Below are 17,384 nucleotides of genomic sequence, written 5' to 3' on the forward strand. Positions count from 1 at the left end.
TGGTGGTGTGCGCCTGTAGTCCCAGCTACTCAGGAGGCTGACGCAGGAAAATCACTTGAACCAGGGAGGCAGAGGTTGCAGTAAGCTGAGATTGTGCCACTGCACTCCAGCCTGGTGACAGAGCGAGACTCTGTCTCAAAACAATAAATAAATAAATAAATAATTATGATTTTTCCTTTAGTGGGTGGAGATTTAGTGGCCTGCTCCCACCCAGAAATCCTGAAGTCCCTATAACAAGGCAAGGCACAACTATATCTTCTATTGTACACAAAGACCCCTTTCCTTCCTGTGAACTGTTTATGGTTCAGCCTAAAACAATGCGAACGCATACCAAAAACTGGGTTGGTATTAGAGCTATGCAAAAGGGGTATTGTAAAGATAGTTTAAATTCATGCAGAAGGGTTTCTCTAGCATATTCAAAAGAGAAAGATGGTAGCAACAACCGAAGCGAGAAGAACAAGAACAAGGTGAAACAGCAGAAGCATCAGCAATTAGTATTTAAGCATGGAAAACAAGGGTTGGTATGGAAAAGAGTGAAGAGGAAAATGTACAACAAAAAATTGCTGGAATTTTCCCTGTCTCGCTTTTAAAATGCAAGCAGCCACAACAACAAAATAATTGCAAGCATCAACAACAACAAAAATCCTACTAGCAGGGGCTAAACCTAGAAGCAACATTGTTTCTATACTAAGAAGTCTGGAGGGAGATAACAGGCTGGGTCAGCTGCTCAACAATGCTAGCAATGACACAGGATCTCTTGCTCCTGCTCTGCCTCCTTCCTCCTTCCTCACTTGTTGACTTTTCACCCTCATGCTTGCCACCTGCTTTCACAAGATGGCTGCTGGGTGTTTCAGGCATTTCCCCCACCCAGGCTGGCATCACAAGCAATAGAGAGGAAGAGTACTATGCCAGCTAGCTCTTCTTTTTCACTGGCTTGTCTTTTTTTTTTTTTGAGACGGAGTCTCACTCTGTCACCCAGGCTGGAGTGCAGTGGCACGATCGTGGCTCACTGCAACCTTCACCTCCTGGGTTCAAGCGATTCTCCTGCCTCAGCTTCCTGAGTAGCTGGGATTACAGGCGCCCGCCACCACGCCCAGCTAATTTTTTGTATTTTTAGTAGAGATGGGGTTTCACCATCTTGGCCAGGCTGGTCTCGAACTCCTGACCTTGTTATCCACCCGCCTCGGCCTCCCAAAGTGCTGGGATTACAGGCGTGAGCTACCGCGCCCGGCCCTATGACTGTCTTTTCATAAGCAGGGAACATCTGTCCCAGAATCCCCTAGGAGCCTTCCCCTTCCATTTCATTGGCCAGACTGTGTCACAGGACCACCCTTAGCTGTAAAATAAACTAGGACCATAAATACAGGACAGAGGGCAATGAGATTTCATGACTGCCTCAGATTTATAACCATTCATCCATTGAGGTTGGAGGAGGGGGTCTATATTCTCTGAGATCAACGGATTTTCTTCCACAAAATCAGCATTCTATTACTAGGGGGAAGAGGGGATACTGGGTAGGATACAATAAGTGAGGCTACAAAGTATTTGCTTAAGAATTTGCTTTAAGAAACTGATTTTAGGAGTTACTGCCTTCGGGCAACATATCTTCCAGGCCTTTGTTTTCTGGTCTCGTGGTCTGGGACCGGAAATGAGCCACCACTTTCTTCAAGAGGCTCTTTCATGCTATTCAGGTCTTGTAATCACCCAACAGGTTCATCTTGCCCACTGCCCAGAAAAGTCAATGCACTCAGAACAGCAGGTTTTTGCAGCAAATAAAGAGTTACAGTGATTGAAGGGCTGGCCAAGTAGAAGGATGAGAGTTAATTTTCAAATCTGTCTCCCCAAGAACCTAGAGGGTAGGATTTTGTTTTTTGGTTTTTTTGGATGGGGTTTTGCTCTTGTCACCCAGGCTGGAGTGCAATGGCATGATCTGGGCTCATTGCAACCTCTGCCTCCTGGGTTCAAGCAAGTCTCCTGCCTCAGCCTCACGAGTAGCTGGGACTACAGGTGCCCGCCACCATATCCAGCTAATTTTTTGTATTTTTAGTAGAGATGGGGTTTCACCATGTTGGCCAGGATGGTCTTGATCTCTTGACCTCAGGTGATCCGCCCGCCTTGGCCTCCCAAAGTGCTGGGAGTACAGGTGTGAGCCACTGCGCCTGGCCAAGGCTAGGGTTTTTTTTTTTTGTTTTTTTGTTTTTGACAGAGTCTCGCTCTATTGCCCAGGCTGGAATGCAGTGGAGCAATCTCGGCTCACTGCAAGCTCCGCCTCCCGGGTTCACGCCATTCTCGTGCCTCAGCCTCCCGAGTACCTGGGACTACGGGCACCCGCCACCACACCTGGCTAATTTTTTGTATTTTTAGTAGAGACGGGATTTCACCACGTTAGCCAGGATGGTCTCAATCTCCTGACCTTGTGATCCACCCGCCTCGGCCTCCCAAAATGCTGGGATTACACGCATGAGTCACTGCACCCGGTCAAGGCTAGGGTTTTTAAGGATAATTTGGTGGGCAAGGGGCTAGGGAATGGGTGCTGCTGCTGATTGGTTGGGGATGTAATCATAGGAGTGTGGAAAACAGTCCTTGTGTGCTGAGTTAGTTTCTGGGTGAGGCCACAGGACTGGCTGAGTCATGGGTGATGTGTCCAGGTGGAGTCAGTTGGTCCCAGAAAGCAAAAGTCTGAAAAACATCTTAAAAGGCCAATCTTAGGTTCTACAATAATGATGTTATCTACAGGAGCAATTGGGGAGGTCCCAAATCTTGTGACCTCCAGCTTTATGACTTTTGAGCAGTAAGGGATTATAAGAAAGCAAGCTAAGGGACAATGGCTGGTTATTGTTTAATTACACATACATCTTAGCAGATTAAGGCCCCTTCCACAATCCTAACCTAGTGGCCTTTTGTTAGTTGTACAAAGGCAGTTTCAGTCTCTGAACAAAGAGGACTTTGAGGGACCATCTTTGCTTCGAAGCTCAACTATAAATTCCTCCCATGGTTAGCTTGGCCTACACCCAGGAGTGAGCAAAGACAGCCAGCCTGTGAGGCTGGAAGCAAGATGGAGTCAACCATGCTAGATTTCTCCCACTGTCATAATCTTTGCAAAGACAGTTTCAGTCTGGGTGAAGTTTGCAAATGTCTTTACTGTGTATTTTTCTTTTGACTCCTAGTCCTTCAGTTAGATTCAGTTAGAATTAGATTTGGTGGAAGACATAGACCCAAAATAAAGTGACTTAAATGAAAGTGCAGCTTATTTATCTTGGTTAAAGTGCAACTTATGTGGTAGCTCTGTCCACGAAGTCCTCAGGGACCGAACTCTTTCTATCTTGCTGCTTTCCTCTAATGCTCTGAGGGTTGAATTATGATCTAAAATGGCTACCTAGACAAGCCAACACATCTGCATTTCAATCAAAAGGAAGGATGATGGAAAAAAAGAAGACAAACTTTTGTCTTATCTGTTTGGTAAGGATGGTTGCCACACCTTGCTACATGATACTTTCTCTTACAGCCATTACCCAGTGCATAGTCACAGGGCCACAGCTAGCTGCAAGGGAGGCTGAAAAATGTTGTCTTTCTTCTGGGTGGCCATGTTAGAATTAGATAAAGATATTTTATTACCTAGAATGTGAGCGTTCTAGTATTATGAAACAACAACAATAAAATAACAACAACAACAACTGGATATTGAGGACCGGCCAGCAATCTCTGTCATCCTCTCCTCTATTGAACTTAGTTCATCTGGGCTAATTCTGTCAGAAATTCTTTGAACTTTAATCCAATGCACTAAATCTCGGTGAGGATATGAGTAGATTTCATGGAGCTGACAGCATCAGAGGGGAAAAAAGTCACTAATGAAAATCATATCTCAACCCATTAATGAAAATCATATCCACTAGGGAGTACACATTCCTAAGCCCAGACCTTAGGGGTATATCTCTGCTTGCGACATGAATACTCATCAATGTAAGTTTTGCAAGTGGAACACTTAGTATTCTCAGGAGTAACCAAATGAATACAAGATGTTGACTCATGTCACTTTGACTCCATGAGGTGTTGATTTTGTATATATAAACACAAACATTTAAATCAAAATTATATTTGCATCAATGATTTGCATCAATAAAAGTATGTCCTGGAGCAAATTTCATTTTGTAAATTTATAAAAAATTCATTTTAATATTTTATGTTTTAAATTTTATATTACATACAAACTGTTATATAACATTTATATAACTGTTTCTCATTTTTCTACTTCACTAGAATTATTTTCACTGGAATCATTTCCAGTTCTTTTACATGTAAGCTTCCCATTGAAGTTACAATTTAGCATTATTTTTTGACTTCATGACAAATTATAGTCATTAGAGTTTCTGACATTATGAGTTTTCTTTTGTGGTTAATTAACCAAGACCAGTTGTTTTTCCGCTGAAACTTTGTAGATCTAAATCTTGTCAAAAAGATTTTATTGATTTTTTCATCAATTTAAAATAAGTGACACATTTTACCATGTCTGTTTTTCTCAATTTTTCCAGTTTTCTTTTCTTTTTTTTTTTGAAATGGAGCCTTGCTCTGTCGCCCAGCTGGAATGCAGTCGCGCGATCTCGGCTCACTGCAAGCTCCGCCTCCCGGGTTCACGCCATTCTCCTGTCTCAGCCTCCTGAGCAGCTGGGACTACAGGTGCCTGCCACCACGCCTGGCTAATTTTTTTTTGTATTTTTAGGAGAGATGAGGTTTCACCGTGTTAGCCAGGATGGTCTTGATCTCCTGATCTCGTAATCCGCCCGCCTCGGCCTCCCAAAGTGCTGGGATTACAGGCGTGAGCCACCGCGCCCGGCCAATTTTTCCTGTTTTCAATGTTACCAATCAGCAGTTATTTTTCAGTCAGTTTTAATTTTATAACTAAATTGTGTTCAGTTTTGGCCACTGTTAATTTCATTTTGTATTTATTTCTATCAAGTCCAGTTTTCCCTGTCAACCTGGTCACAATATCCTTGGCATAACAATAGCCAGGCAAAATAACAACAACAAAAAACCCAATGAGATAAAACCCCAAATTCCAGGCAACTATTCTGACATGTTTGGTGGCTATAAAGATGGAAATAAATACATCTTAGGAATCTTCTAGTTCCATCTTCTCATTTTATAAGTGAGAAAACTGAGGTTTCCCAAGAAAGATGAAGTCTTGAGCCAGTGCAAGAGTTATTAAGGATGGAGGTGATGAGCAGGTGTGATAAATACTGATTGGACTGTGGGATGACAAAGAGGGACAAGTCTAGGATGATCTTGGATTTCAGGCTTGGGTGACTGGGTGGATATTGATGCTATTAACTCAGACAAAAATACATGAGTAGGTCAGGTTTGGAGGTGGGGACAGAGGACGAGTTCAGGTTTTTAAATGCTAGCCCGATGTTTAAGTGGAATCTGGATATTTGAATAAGTTTTTTTTTTTTTTTTTTTTTTTTTTTTGAGACAGAGTCTCGCCCTGTAGCCCAGGCTGGAATGCAATGGCATGATCTCAGCTTACTGCAACCTCCGTCTCCCAGGTTCAAACCATTCTCCTGCCTCAGCCTCCCAAGTAGCTGGGATTACAGGTGCATGCCACCACGCCCAGCTAATTTTTGTATTTTTAGTAGAGACGGGGTTTCACCATGTTGGCCAGGATGGTCTCGAACTCCTGACCTCAGGTGATCCTCCCGCCTTGGCCTCCCAAAGCATTGGGATTACAGGCATGAGCCACCGCACCCGGCCTGAATAAGAAATTTTTAAACAGGTCTGAATGGAAAGATAGACTTGGGAATTGTCAGCTTACAAACTTACAGGTGGTAGTCACCTGACAAGAGACAAAGTCACCACCCTGGGAAAATACACATCAAGGAGGCAAAGTTTGTGCAGGCCTGCAGGCCTCATATGGACAGCAGATGTGTTTTGTTTGGTCCAAAACAGAAGTTTAATAAAATGTGAATTAGTGAGCAATGTTTAAAATTTGTGAGATTTCATGTAAATATCTGTATATCGATTGGTGTTTTTTTTTCTTTTTCTTTTTTTTTTTTTGAGATGGAGTCTCACTTTGTCACCCAGGCTGGAGCACAGTGGCGTGATGTTGACTCACTGCAACCTCTGCCTCCTGGGTTCAAGCGATTCTCTTGCCTCAGCCTCCTGGGTAGCTGGGATTACAGGCACCCACCACCACGCCCGGCTAATTTTTGTATTTTTAGTAGAGACAGGGTTTCACCTTATTGGTCAGGCTGGTCTTGAACTCCTGACCTTGTGATCTGCCCGCCTCAGTCTCCCAAAGTTCTAGGATTACAGGCGTGAGTCACCATACCCGGCCCTCGATTATCTTTTAAGCAGGGGATCTGACATCACCGGGTCAGCATTCCTGGTTGGCAAAAATCAACAGAGCTGTGGTAGGGACCACGAGCTCCAGATCACCACAGTCTCTATCCCTGGGCTTCACTCCTTTGTGTTAACTGCCCGGCTGCTGTAGGCTTTGGGGTTTGCAGCCTCTGATGGAGCCTAAGAAAGCCAAGGGAAAAAAGAGCTCAGGAAAAGGGAAAGTGGAAGCCAGTGATAGAAACTGAGGAAAGATAGGTGACAGGAGAACCTAGAGGACTGACTTGGAAACAAGCAAAGAAATCAAGTTTGAAAGGAGGTGAAACAAACCTTGTTTTAGCTATATGATCCAGCTATTTGCTTAGGCCCCAAATTTAAGAATTATTTTTGACACTTTTCTTTTCCTTATCTCCCTTATCTAAACTCATCTCCAAGTCTGTCACATCTACCTCAGAATTATTCCTGAAATTTGTCCATTTCTATCATTTCTTACCTGCTCATTGCAAAAGCAACTCTTCTCTTTGCATCCTTTTAAATTGTTTCTCAAAAGTTTCATGTATACACAGCAGCTAGCAGGGTGATGTTATAAAACTAGATCCTGTCACTTACGTGTTGATAACTCTTCACTAGTTTCCCCTTACACTTCGAATAAACTCGTATTCCTCACAGGAACCCAGAGAGTCTGTGCATGATGGGGACTCTCCTTGCCTTCTTGATCTCATCCTCTGTTCTTCCCATGACCTACTTTCTCACTTTCTCCAAGGCACCACATTCTGCCCCTTCCCTATTGCTTGCTCACATGTAGATTCTTCTCTTGGCTGTTCTTTCCTTAGCTCTCCACAGAGTTGGCTGCTTCTCAGTTTACTGAACCTCTTCAGAGGGCACTTTCTTGACATCTCAAATCAAAAGGTCACCTGTCTTCCTTTAATTTCTCAGCAACTTATTTTCCTTCTACTTTTTTTTTTTTTTTTGAGATGGAGTCTCGCTGTCGCCCAGGTTGGAGTGCAGTGGCGCGATCTCGGCTCACTGCAGGCTCCGCCCCCCGGGGTTCCCGCCATTCTCCTGCCTCAGCCTCCCGAGTAGCTGGGACTACAGGCGCCCACCACCTCGCCCGGCTAATTTTTTGTATTTTTAGTAGAGACGGGGTTTCACCGTGTTAGCCAGGATGGTCTCGATCTCCTGACTTTGTGATCCGCCTGCCTCGGCCTCCCAAAGTGCTGGGATTACAAGCGTGAGCCACCGCGCCCGGCCTTTCCTTCTACATTTAATGTTTGCTTTCTCAACTAGAAAGTAATCCCCATGAGGGAAGGCACAGCGTCTGTCTTGTTCCTGGTTGTTTCCCCAGCTTTTGTTAAGGGTGCTTGCCTGGCACACAGGAGGACCTTAAATTGTGGTGGAATTAATATGTGAACAATAGTCACATGCAGCAGAGGTGAGACTAGGCTAAGGAATAAAATTGCACATCTGTATTTCAGTAACTTTTTTTAAATTTTATTTGAAACAGGGTCTTGCTCTGTGGCTCAGGGTGGAGTGTAGTGGCACGTTCATAGCTCATTGCAGCCTCGAACTCCTGGACCTAAGCAATCCTCCTGCCTCAGCCTCCATAGTAGCTGGACCACAGGTGCACGCCACCACACTCGGCTAATTTTTTAATTTTTTTGTAGAGACGGGGCCTCCCCAGGTTGCCCAGGCTGGTGATTTTTTTCTTAAGCTTCATAAAGATTTTGCAATTAGGAATACTAGGGTACCAGGGCAACTCTACAAGCCCTAGCCAGCCAAGCTGCTCGCGCCCTCCTATGACCGCGGCAGCTCCGCGCCTGCGCAGATCTCCCCCGGGCGGTCTCGCCCTCTCATCCTAAGGGGGCGGGCCTAGCGGAAGGCGGGTCAGGCAGAATGCGGCCCCGGGCGCGTGTGGATGACGTCACCCGGCGCGTGCCGGGGTAGCCCGTAGTAACCCCGAGTCTGCGGAAGTGGTGACCCGTGGGACGCGGCTGAGACAGGTAACCTGTTCGCTCCCTGTTGGGTCCCTGCCTTCCTCTCCTCCGGCGTCGGGATGGCGGCGGGGACAGCATCATTCCGTTCTGAAGGCGACGGGGAACCCTCCCTTACCCTCACTTTTGCTCGACCAGCGAGGACCCGCATCCCCTCCTCAGTTCTCCCAGACTCCTGGGGCTGAAACCCATCCTGGGGACTGGGCGGAGCGGTCACATCTTACCACCTCAGCTGTAGAGGTGGCCACGGGCTCTGGCTGTCTTCTCCCCGGCGGCACAGACCTTTCTCAGCCTCTGGGTGCCTCCTCCTTCGTCTCTTGCCTCCAGGCCCTCGGTCACCTGCCGGTCTCGGCTTCTAGCCCCACAGGGCTCATCTCCAGTCTTAAGTAGGCAGAACAGTTTCGATTCGATTCATTTCCACTTGCAGTGAAACCCATCCGCCTCTTCTTCCCCCGGAGGATCTTTACTGAGAGCACCACATTTTGAGTTTTGGGGTCCCTATAGAACATTCATACTGTTAGTCTGGAGTTTTGTTCATGAACGCATGCATGGGCGGGGAGGGGGTGGCACAGTAATGTGATTATGATTATCTATTGTGATAATAAAATATCCACTTAGGATCCAATCCACTGTTGAGATGCATGGAACAGTTAATAGCATTGCATAAAATGCCCCTTGTACCTGATTTCTTTTTGGTTTTCGTGCAATGATGACAATTACCCTTGCAAAGGTAGCCCTCAAAATAAGTAACATAACCCGCTAGGGATGTTTAGATCGCAAAAAAACAACAATAAGGTTCATATGGTTGATAAAGAAATAATATGGGTTATTACAAAACCAGACAGAATAGATGCTGAGTATATGGGACGAGAAGCAGAATTCTGAAATCCTTGATCTCATTGATTGTTTGGTTTTGTATTTTTAAAATACTTTTAGTCTGTTCCATTTTTGAATAGTGTATATTGTGCTTCGTATAAGTCTGGGAAGCCTTCCAATGACTTGCTAATTGGGAAGATTAGATTCTTCCAATATTTGGGGGACAAAGTAGAATAAGGTTAGGGTATAATAATAGTTGCTTACTGTTGGCCCATCTGCTTTATCCCAGGTACTGTGTTCAACACTTTGCATATGTTTTCTCCTTACTTCATACAACCACCTCGTGAGTTAGGAATTATTACCCCCAATTTATAGAGAAGGAAATTGAGTTTCGGTTATATGAAATTGACTTGCTAAAAATTCACAGTTAACTAAATGGCAAAATCAAGATTTAAATTCAGGTCTGAATATAACTTCAAAGCCTGCACTTTTCTTAAAGGACTCTACTAATGCTCAAATTTTAGGCTTTTTACAATAGTTGCACACAATTTTATGAGTTTGTTCACCTACACAAATGATTTAACACTTTTTAATATCTTTAATACTGTGTTAAGTTCCCATATTCCTGGAGTTAAAACACCTGGAAAGCTTAATTTGTGATCCTTCCTGCGTGCGCGCATGCACACACACACACACACACACACACACACACACCATCCTTATTTTTAAGAATGAGATAAATGGCAAACAAGATTGTGCAGTAAAACCCTGCTGTTTGGAGTCCTCAGGGAATGGGTAATTTTACAGTTGAGAGCTTAATACTTCTTTAGAAATGAAAATTTTATTGACTCTTTGAGATGGAAATTTTAAAAATGTACTACACAATTTCTTGCCTTCTTAAACACTCAGGATGCCGAGTAGATTTTTGACCTCACTGTGCCCGGTCGAGGACAGTTCTTCTAAGGAATTTGGCTGTGAGGAGATAAAGAAGAGTTAGAGGGAGATGTGGACTTAAGGGAGGGTTTTGTTCATTTGTGGGTTTTTCCTGTAAGAAGAGACTGGAACATTCACATTTGTGAGGTGGAAAGGGCTTGGAAACAGGAAGATGCTGAGGTCAAGGATTTAGAGGGCTGGATGATTGATGAAGCAAGGTCCCAGAGGCCACCAAAAGACGATCTCCAGAGCAGAGGCCACCTTCAGGCTATGCGGGGCACGAGGGACACTTCTTCCACTCTCCTGGGAGGGATGGGGAGAAGGGTGGGCACAGACGTGAGTGAGTGTGTGGGATGAGGAAGAAATGTGTGGAAGTTCTTGTGTGATGGAGCAAAAGTTCTTAAGTGCAGCAGGTGAATTTGCTGACATTGCGTTGATTTGTTGGGATAGGGATTGAGGAAAGTTGGTAGAAGTTTAGAATAATCACTGAGGGAAAAGGACAGGGTTTGATGGGGAGACTAGAGAGAAACATGAAGGGTTGCCTGTCCAGGAAAGTTGGTGTCCCACCAAAGTTGGAGTCTATGAATATCTAGAGTCAGATATTCTTGTGATCGTGATATTTATTCAGCTTTTGTTGAGCTTAGTAGTTTAGAAGTACAGAAGGTGGATGATTCCATTGCTTAAAGGTTTGGTTTTATAAAAGTTCTGTCAGAAGGATGAAAGAGCAAGAGACTTGAGGTTAAAATGTTCCAAGAGTGTTTGAAGAAATGAACTATGTTATTCTAAAGATGTCCATAGAGGCTGGGGGCACTGTGGCTCACTCATCCCAGCACCTTGGGAGCCCAAGGCAGGAGGATCCCTTGAGCCCAGGAGTTCAAGACCAGCCTGGGCAACATGATGAAATCCTGCCACTACGAAAAATACAAAAATTAGCCAGGCATGATGGCATATGCCTGTAGTCTCAGGTACTTGGGGGAGGCTGAGATGGAAGGATTAGCTTGAGCCCAGCAGGTCGAGGCTGCAGTGAGCTGTGGTGGCGCCACTGCACTCCAGCCTGGGAGACACAGTGATGAGACACTGTCTTTAAAAAAAAAAAAAAAAGAAAGAAAAGAAGACCATAGAGCAGGGAGTCTCTACTTCTGAAACATTTATAATTCTCTGCTGTGGGGGGCTGTCCTGTGCATTGTAGGATGTTAGCAGTATCTCTGGTCTCTGCCTATTAGATGCCTGTAGCAGACCTCTCCAGTGTGATAATCAAAAATGTCTCAAGACGTTGCCAAATGTCTTCTGAGGGGCAAAATCAGCCCCAATTGAGAACCACTGCCATAGAGTCAGAGGAAGCAGATGGATTGGAGAAAATGTTAAAGCTAAGGGACTGGAGTCTCGATGAAAAAAGAAAGAGCTGGCAAGTAAGCAAGAGAAAGAGTAGGAAGACTGGGAGGCTGTGCTTGGAGGTTAGACTATTGAAATTATGTCACAGGTGGAACTCTTCCACATAATGAAAATGTCTGGGCCGGGCACAGTGGCTCACGCCTGTAATCCCAGCACTTTGGAAGGCCGAGGTGGGTAGATCACGAGGTCAGGAGATCGAGACCATCCTGGCTAACGCAGTGAAACCCTATCTCTACTAAAAATACAAAAAATTAGCTGGGCGTGGTGGCGGGCGCCTATAGTCCCAGCTACTCGTGAGGCTGAGGCAGGAGAATGGCGTGAACTGGTGAGGCGGAGCTTGTAGTGAGCCGAGTTTGCGCCACTGCACTCCAGCCTGGGCGACAGAGCGAGACTCCATCTCAAAAAAAAAAAAAAAAAAAGTCAAGAATGGACCATTGGTCTTCTTCTGTCTAGTATAAATTTTATAAACAGATTAATATCAGAGATCATTAATGCATTTCCTTGAGAGTGAAGAAAAAACGACATCCAGGCCTGTTTCCTAACAGCAGTGATTATTTCCACTTCCAGGCGTAGTGACCATTGTTCAGCCTGACCTCCATTAATTCTGTTGAGTAATTCTTTTGAAAAGTGATGTTTTTTATTTCTTGACTCATAAAGCGTGTAACTTACATGCTATTTGAGAATAAACCTCTATTTTACATTGAGATTTATACCAAATGGCAAAATATAGGATCTCTCTATCTTCGGACAGAATGAGAAGAAACACTTTTTCTACAAGTAAAAATTGTTTTTAAAAAACAGCAAAAAGGATGAAATAGTTGCCTAAATAAGAGGCGTAACTCAGACGTATTCAGAAACTAGTTTTCAACCTTAGTTTCTGCTGCAGGTTTTCTCAGGATTGTGTAGTCATCATCACAGTGGTTATGAAGAATTAGGACATAGTTGGGTCGGTGGTTGTAATTCTGACTGGTTGTTTAATATAATTATACTATTTTATGTACACTGAGAAATTTATATACTAAGTAAAGCATGTCTTGTAATGTTAAAGAAAAAAAAGACGATTAATTTGCTACGTGCAGTGAAGGCGAAGGTTGTTGGCGCTGAGTAGGTCATTTTGAGAGTGGGGAAATGGAGATAATATTACCTGTGGTTAGGGAGCAGGTTGGAAAAGCAGCAGCAGGACAGCCTCAGAGTTTCTGAAATGACACCAGGACTAAGGCTTTCTGGATGCTTGTTTTCTCACTCCGCCCGGTAAGTGCTTCTCAGCTCTTTTCTAGCATAATCATTTCCCCCAACTTTTACTTCTCTCTTGTAGTGTTTTAACAAGTCAAGAGACTTATCCAACTTGTTTTTTTTTTTTTTGAGACGGAGTCTCGCTCTGTCGCCCAGGCTGGAGTGCAGTGGCGCGATCTCGGCTCACTGCGAGCTCTGCCTCCCGGGTTCACGCCATTCACCTGCCTCAGCCTCCCGAGTAGCTGGGACTACAGGCGTCCGCCACCATGCCCGGCTAGTTTTTGTATTTTTAGTAGAGATGGGGTTTCACTGCGTTAGCCAGGATGGTCTCGATCTCCTGACCCCGTGATCCGCCTGCCTCAGCCTCCCAAAGTGCTGGGATTACAGGCGTGAGCCACCGTGCCCGGCCCAACTTGTTTTTTTAAATAGTACTTTTTAGGTGAATAGTTCTTCAGTATTCTCTTGATTTGATTTTGTCATCTTTTTGCTAGGCCTCCAAAAAGCCCTGGTTTCTGTGCTATGTGATATACTTTTAGAGCAGTTCTTTTGCATTTGGGCATCTGATTATAAAGTCTCTCGTTGGTAAAAGAAATGTCAACATATCTTTAAATTTTACAACTCTTAGAAGGTTTTTTTTCCCCCTGCCTTTTTTCCCTAGTCTGTTCTCTTTTGCCTTTTTTTTTTTTTTTTTTTTTTTGAGACGGAGTTTCGCTCTTGTTGCCCAGGCTGGAGTGCAATGGCATGATCTTTGCTCACCTCATTGGTTCTAGCAATTCTCCTGCCTCAGCCTCCCAAGTAGCTGGGATTACAGGCACCTGGCACCACACCTGGCTAATTTTTGTATTTTTAGTAGAGGTGGCGTTTCACCATGTTGGCCAGGCTGGTTTCGAACTCCTGACCTCAAGTGATCTGCCCACCTTGGCCTCCCAAAGTGCTAGGATTACAGGTGTGGGTCACCCCGCCCAGCCTGTTCCCTTTTACTTTTTATTGTTCCATATTCGTTTTTAACATATACATATGTACAATGTTAATTGGGAACTAATTACAGTATACTCTAGAGGATGTAAGCAACTTCTAGAATATGCCTTTTAATATTCTCCCCATGTTTGATAATCCATGCTTTCAGTCAACTTTTTTTTTTTTTACCTTATCTTTATGAGCATAACCTACATTATTCATCAAGTAAGAATGGGTACTAATTCCCATCTCTTTTACAAAGCATTAAAAACACAACTGTCTTATCCACAGATACAAGCTGATGTAGGTTTTGTTGTTACATCATTAGTCTTGTCACTGAAAAACAGTAAGTAGGTGGCATTAAAAGCCTTGGAGTTTTAACTTGATTCTCATACAAATTTTTCAGGAATCTAGTCTATTTGATAGGGTATAAGAAGTGTCTTCTATCAAGGAATTTCCTATGATAGGCAGTAAATTCCCTATTGGTGTTTAATAATGATATTTTATTACCTTATTCACATACTTAAATATGAGGATTTCTAAGAAAAAGATATTACCTCAAGAAAGAGTGATGACTAGGATTTCATACGGACCTGATTTGTTTTGGTGTTTAGGATCTGGCACATCAAAGGAGAAATGGGTTGTTCTCTCCAGACCATGAAAATGGACATTTATACTAAATACAGAATATAAACTCAAGAGCATGACAGAAGACTATGTTTTATCAAATAACTTAACACTTTAAAAAGCAGCAGCATTACATTCTGGCAGTTGCTCTCTAGTGGCAGATAGCACAGATCTGTCTGTGTCCTATCTGCAGCAGTCTCTGTGCTGTCTGCAATCTTGGCCAAGTCAAGATCCTTCAGTGGTCATGTTTGAGCAAGTGGATGCCCAAGGACTTTGACAGTTAGTTTATAACAAATTTTTTTTTGTTTTGGAACATGGCATAACATCTTTTCTAATAAGAGAGTATTTCAGGTTCTGGAAATATCATGGTTACTGTATATGCTGTGTTTAATCATTTTCTTTCTCTTTTTTTTTTTTTTTTTTTGAGACAGTGTCTCACTCTGTTGCCCAGGCTGGAGTGCAGTGGCATGATCACAACTCATTGCAAGCTTAATCTCCCAGGCTCAAGCGATCCTCCTGCCTCAGCCTCCTGGGTGTCTGGGACTACAGGTGCGCACCACCATGCTCAGCTAATTTTTTGTATTTTCTTTAGAGATGACATTTTGCCGTGTTGCTCAGGCTGATCTTGAACCCTTGGGCTCCAGTGATCCACCTGCCTTGACCTTCAAAGTGCGGGGATTACAAGTGTGAGCCACTGCATCTGGCCTAGTCATTTTCTTATGATGGTTTTAGAAATTCCTATTTTTACACCACATGGCAAATTGTAATGTTATGTAGTATTTGCACCGTGTAACCAGCTCATGGCAAGCACTTTAAACATACCCTTAGGTTCCTTCTGTATTGGTGTAGTTCTGTATTTGTTCTCTAGGTTTACACTTTTTTCTTCAGCATATATACCTTAGCCTTTATAAGAAATGGAATCTTAAAGGAAAATAAACTGTTGAAACTTACCTTTAAAACTTCCTAATTCATTTCAATATGACCTACAAATTAAGTGTCAGTTGCCTGTTTAAATTTAAAAGATGATTGAGCTCCTGAAGATCTAAAGATATTTAAGCTATACCAAATGCATTTTCTTACCTTAATCCCAGGTGCTTTTCAATTTCCAGGAATTTGTTGAAATATTTTGTCTTGGCAAGGATGAACTGAATACATGTTCAGTTTACCACATAGAATCTGGTGCTGGGAGTATATTTTAAACCTTGATGAGGTGGATTCAAAACCATTTAGAGAGAAAGGGGCACCCATTTGCAGTGTGTAAAGTCTGGATCTTCCTCTGAATGGAGAAATGTGCGTTCTATATTTATTCCCACAAAGAACTAGAATATAAATATTGAGATCTGAATGCCTTTTATTTATTTATTTTTATTGATTGATTTATTTACTGGCCTTGGCAATCCTCTGAGTTTATACTTGAGCTTATTTTGCCTCTAGATACAGTGCTCCCCGCCGAGTTTATCTGCACAGCTGCAGCGCCGGGAACATGATCACCAAATAAATCCTAGGGTGGGGGAGCTTGTCTTGCTTTCTGGCTGAAGGAAGTGTAGTTGCCTAAGACAGGAACAGAGGGACCTCTTGCCCTTCCTACAGTTTTTCCTGTTATAGGAAGTATAATGTCCTACAGAGAAGGACAGAAAGATGGTTGGTGCAGTGTAGGAAGTGGGAGTTGTAAGGTCAGACAGAGGCCAGCAATTGGGGGAGGGATAAGGAAGCCTGCTTATACTTGGAGTTGCCAAGAAAAGGCCTGCTAATCACCCATATACAAGTTTTCAATAATGAGAATTTCCTCAATATACTTAACAGCAAGAGTCCTACACAGGAAGCCCTGCAGTAAGTGGCCAGAGAATTTGCCAGATGCAGCCATTTTTAGCATCACTGAACTCTACAGTGGATTTTAAATAGTACTGGTTGGGAGGAGACCAGAGTTAGATTAAGCCTTTTCTCAAAGTTTGGTCTCTGGACCAGCATATTAATATTGGAACTTGTTAGAAATGCAGATTCTTAGAGCCCAGTAGTCTGTGTTTGAACCACTGGCCCAGCCAATTCAACCTAATTGTAGTGGCAAAGTCAAAATATTGGGAAAGAATGAGTGAAAACTTCATTATATGTTAGAACATCTTCTGATGTTTATATAGGGATGGCAGGGAATGCTGTTTCAAGTTGAAGGACGGAAAAAACAGCTTCAGTTATAGATACCAGTAACATGCAACATTGTTCCTGTAGGTGGAGAATACCCCCATTTGTGGCTACAATTCACCCTGGTCTGGAATCTAAATTCTGCCAGATTATAATACAAGAGAGCTTTTCACTTTGCCTCTTTTTTCGTTTTAAATATTTATTCCTTGATTGTATTAATATTTATATATGCATTGACCAGTGAAATTTTGTTTTCATGGCTTTGTGATGGCAAGAGTTGGTTTAAGTAGCTCATTGGTTCAGAAACACTAGATACATAAAAATTATCTTGATATCCTGTGTAAAATGTAGATTATTGGCTGCTATCCTTGCATGTCCAAGAATCTGCATTTTTTCTTTTTTGAGACGGAGTCTCGCTCTGTCACCCAGGCTGGAGTGCAGTGGTGCGATCTCGGCTCACTGCAAGCTCTGCCTCCTGGGTTCACGCCATTCTCCTGCCTCAGCCTCGCAAGTAGCTGGGACTACAGGCACTCACCACCACGCCCGGCTAATTTTTTGTATTTTTAGTAGAGACAGGGTTTCACCGTGTTAGCCAGGATGGTCTCGATCTCCCGACCTCGTGATCCACCTGCCTTGGCCTCCCAAAGTGCTGGGATTACAGGTGTGAGCCACCGCGCCCGGCCAAGAATCTGCATTTTTAACAGGCACCACTCACACCAGCCCACCCCCAACCTGCAACGTTGTTTATTGGGCTTGTGGTTCTCAGACTACATTTTGAGAAACACTGTGCTAAATTTCCAAGGAGAGTGATTTTAAAGTAACAGCTTTATTGAGATATAATTCACATGCCACAAAATTCACTCTTTAAAAGAATATAATTTATTGATTTTTAGTATATTTACAGAATTGTGCAACCATCACCACTGTATAATTTTAGGATATTTCCATCATTCCTCAAGGAATCCCTGT

The 17,384-nt window shown here is 43.3% G+C and overlaps 1 protein-coding gene across 49 annotated transcripts in view, besides 5 other annotated features; it reads left to right on the top strand.

Moving 5' to 3' along the window:
- Positions 1,996–3,195: an enhancer, noted in NCBI's record as "P300/CBP strongly-dependent group 1 enhancer chr9:97482699-97483898 (GRCh37/hg19 assembly coordinates)". NCBI's record gives its function as "activates an origin of replication core promoter dependent on BRD2, BRD4, P300/CBP, MED14 and CDK7 cofactors, with strong dependence on P300/CBP, by STARR-seq in HCT116 cells {active_cell/tissue: HCT116}" and the evidence as "EXISTENCE:reporter gene assay evidence [ECO:0000049][PMID:35650434]".
- Positions 7,890–8,059: an enhancer, noted in NCBI's record as "active region_28633". NCBI's record gives its function as "activates an Ori minimal core promoter by ATAC-STARR-seq in GM12878 lymphoblastoid cells {active_cell/tissue: GM12878}" and the evidence as "EXISTENCE:reporter gene assay evidence [ECO:0000049][PMID:35858748]".
- Positions 7,890–8,549: a biological region, named in NCBI's record as "H3K27ac hESC enhancer GRCh37_chr9:97488708-97489250".
- Positions 8,005–8,547: an enhancer, noted in NCBI's record as "H3K27ac hESC enhancer chr9:97488708-97489250 (GRCh37/hg19 assembly coordinates)". NCBI's record gives its function as "activates a minimal SCP1, AML or CMV promoter by ChIP-STARR-seq in naive H9 embryonic stem cells {active_cell/tissue: H9 hESC(naive)}" and the evidence as "EXISTENCE:reporter gene assay evidence [ECO:0000049][PMID:30033119]".
- Positions 8,070–8,549: an enhancer, noted in NCBI's record as "active region_28634". NCBI's record gives its function as "activates an Ori minimal core promoter by ATAC-STARR-seq in GM12878 lymphoblastoid cells {active_cell/tissue: GM12878}" and the evidence as "EXISTENCE:reporter gene assay evidence [ECO:0000049][PMID:35858748]".
- The window catches only part of AOPEP (aminopeptidase O (putative)), a 423,526-nt gene continuing 414,419 nt past the window's right edge, over positions 8,278–17,384 (top strand). For all 49 annotated transcript variants that reach the window (NR_169862.1, NR_169863.2, NR_169864.1 and 46 more), the window contains exon 1: positions 8,278–8,330. The gene's annotated coding sequence lies outside the window, so the exon portion shown is untranslated. The remainder of the gene's footprint in view (positions 8,331–17,384) is intronic.

The sequence above is a fragment of the Homo sapiens genome, chromosome 9, assembly GCF_000001405.40.
Source record: "Homo sapiens chromosome 9, GRCh38.p14 Primary Assembly".
NCBI lineage: Eukaryota > Metazoa > Chordata > Mammalia > Primates > Hominidae > Homo > Homo sapiens.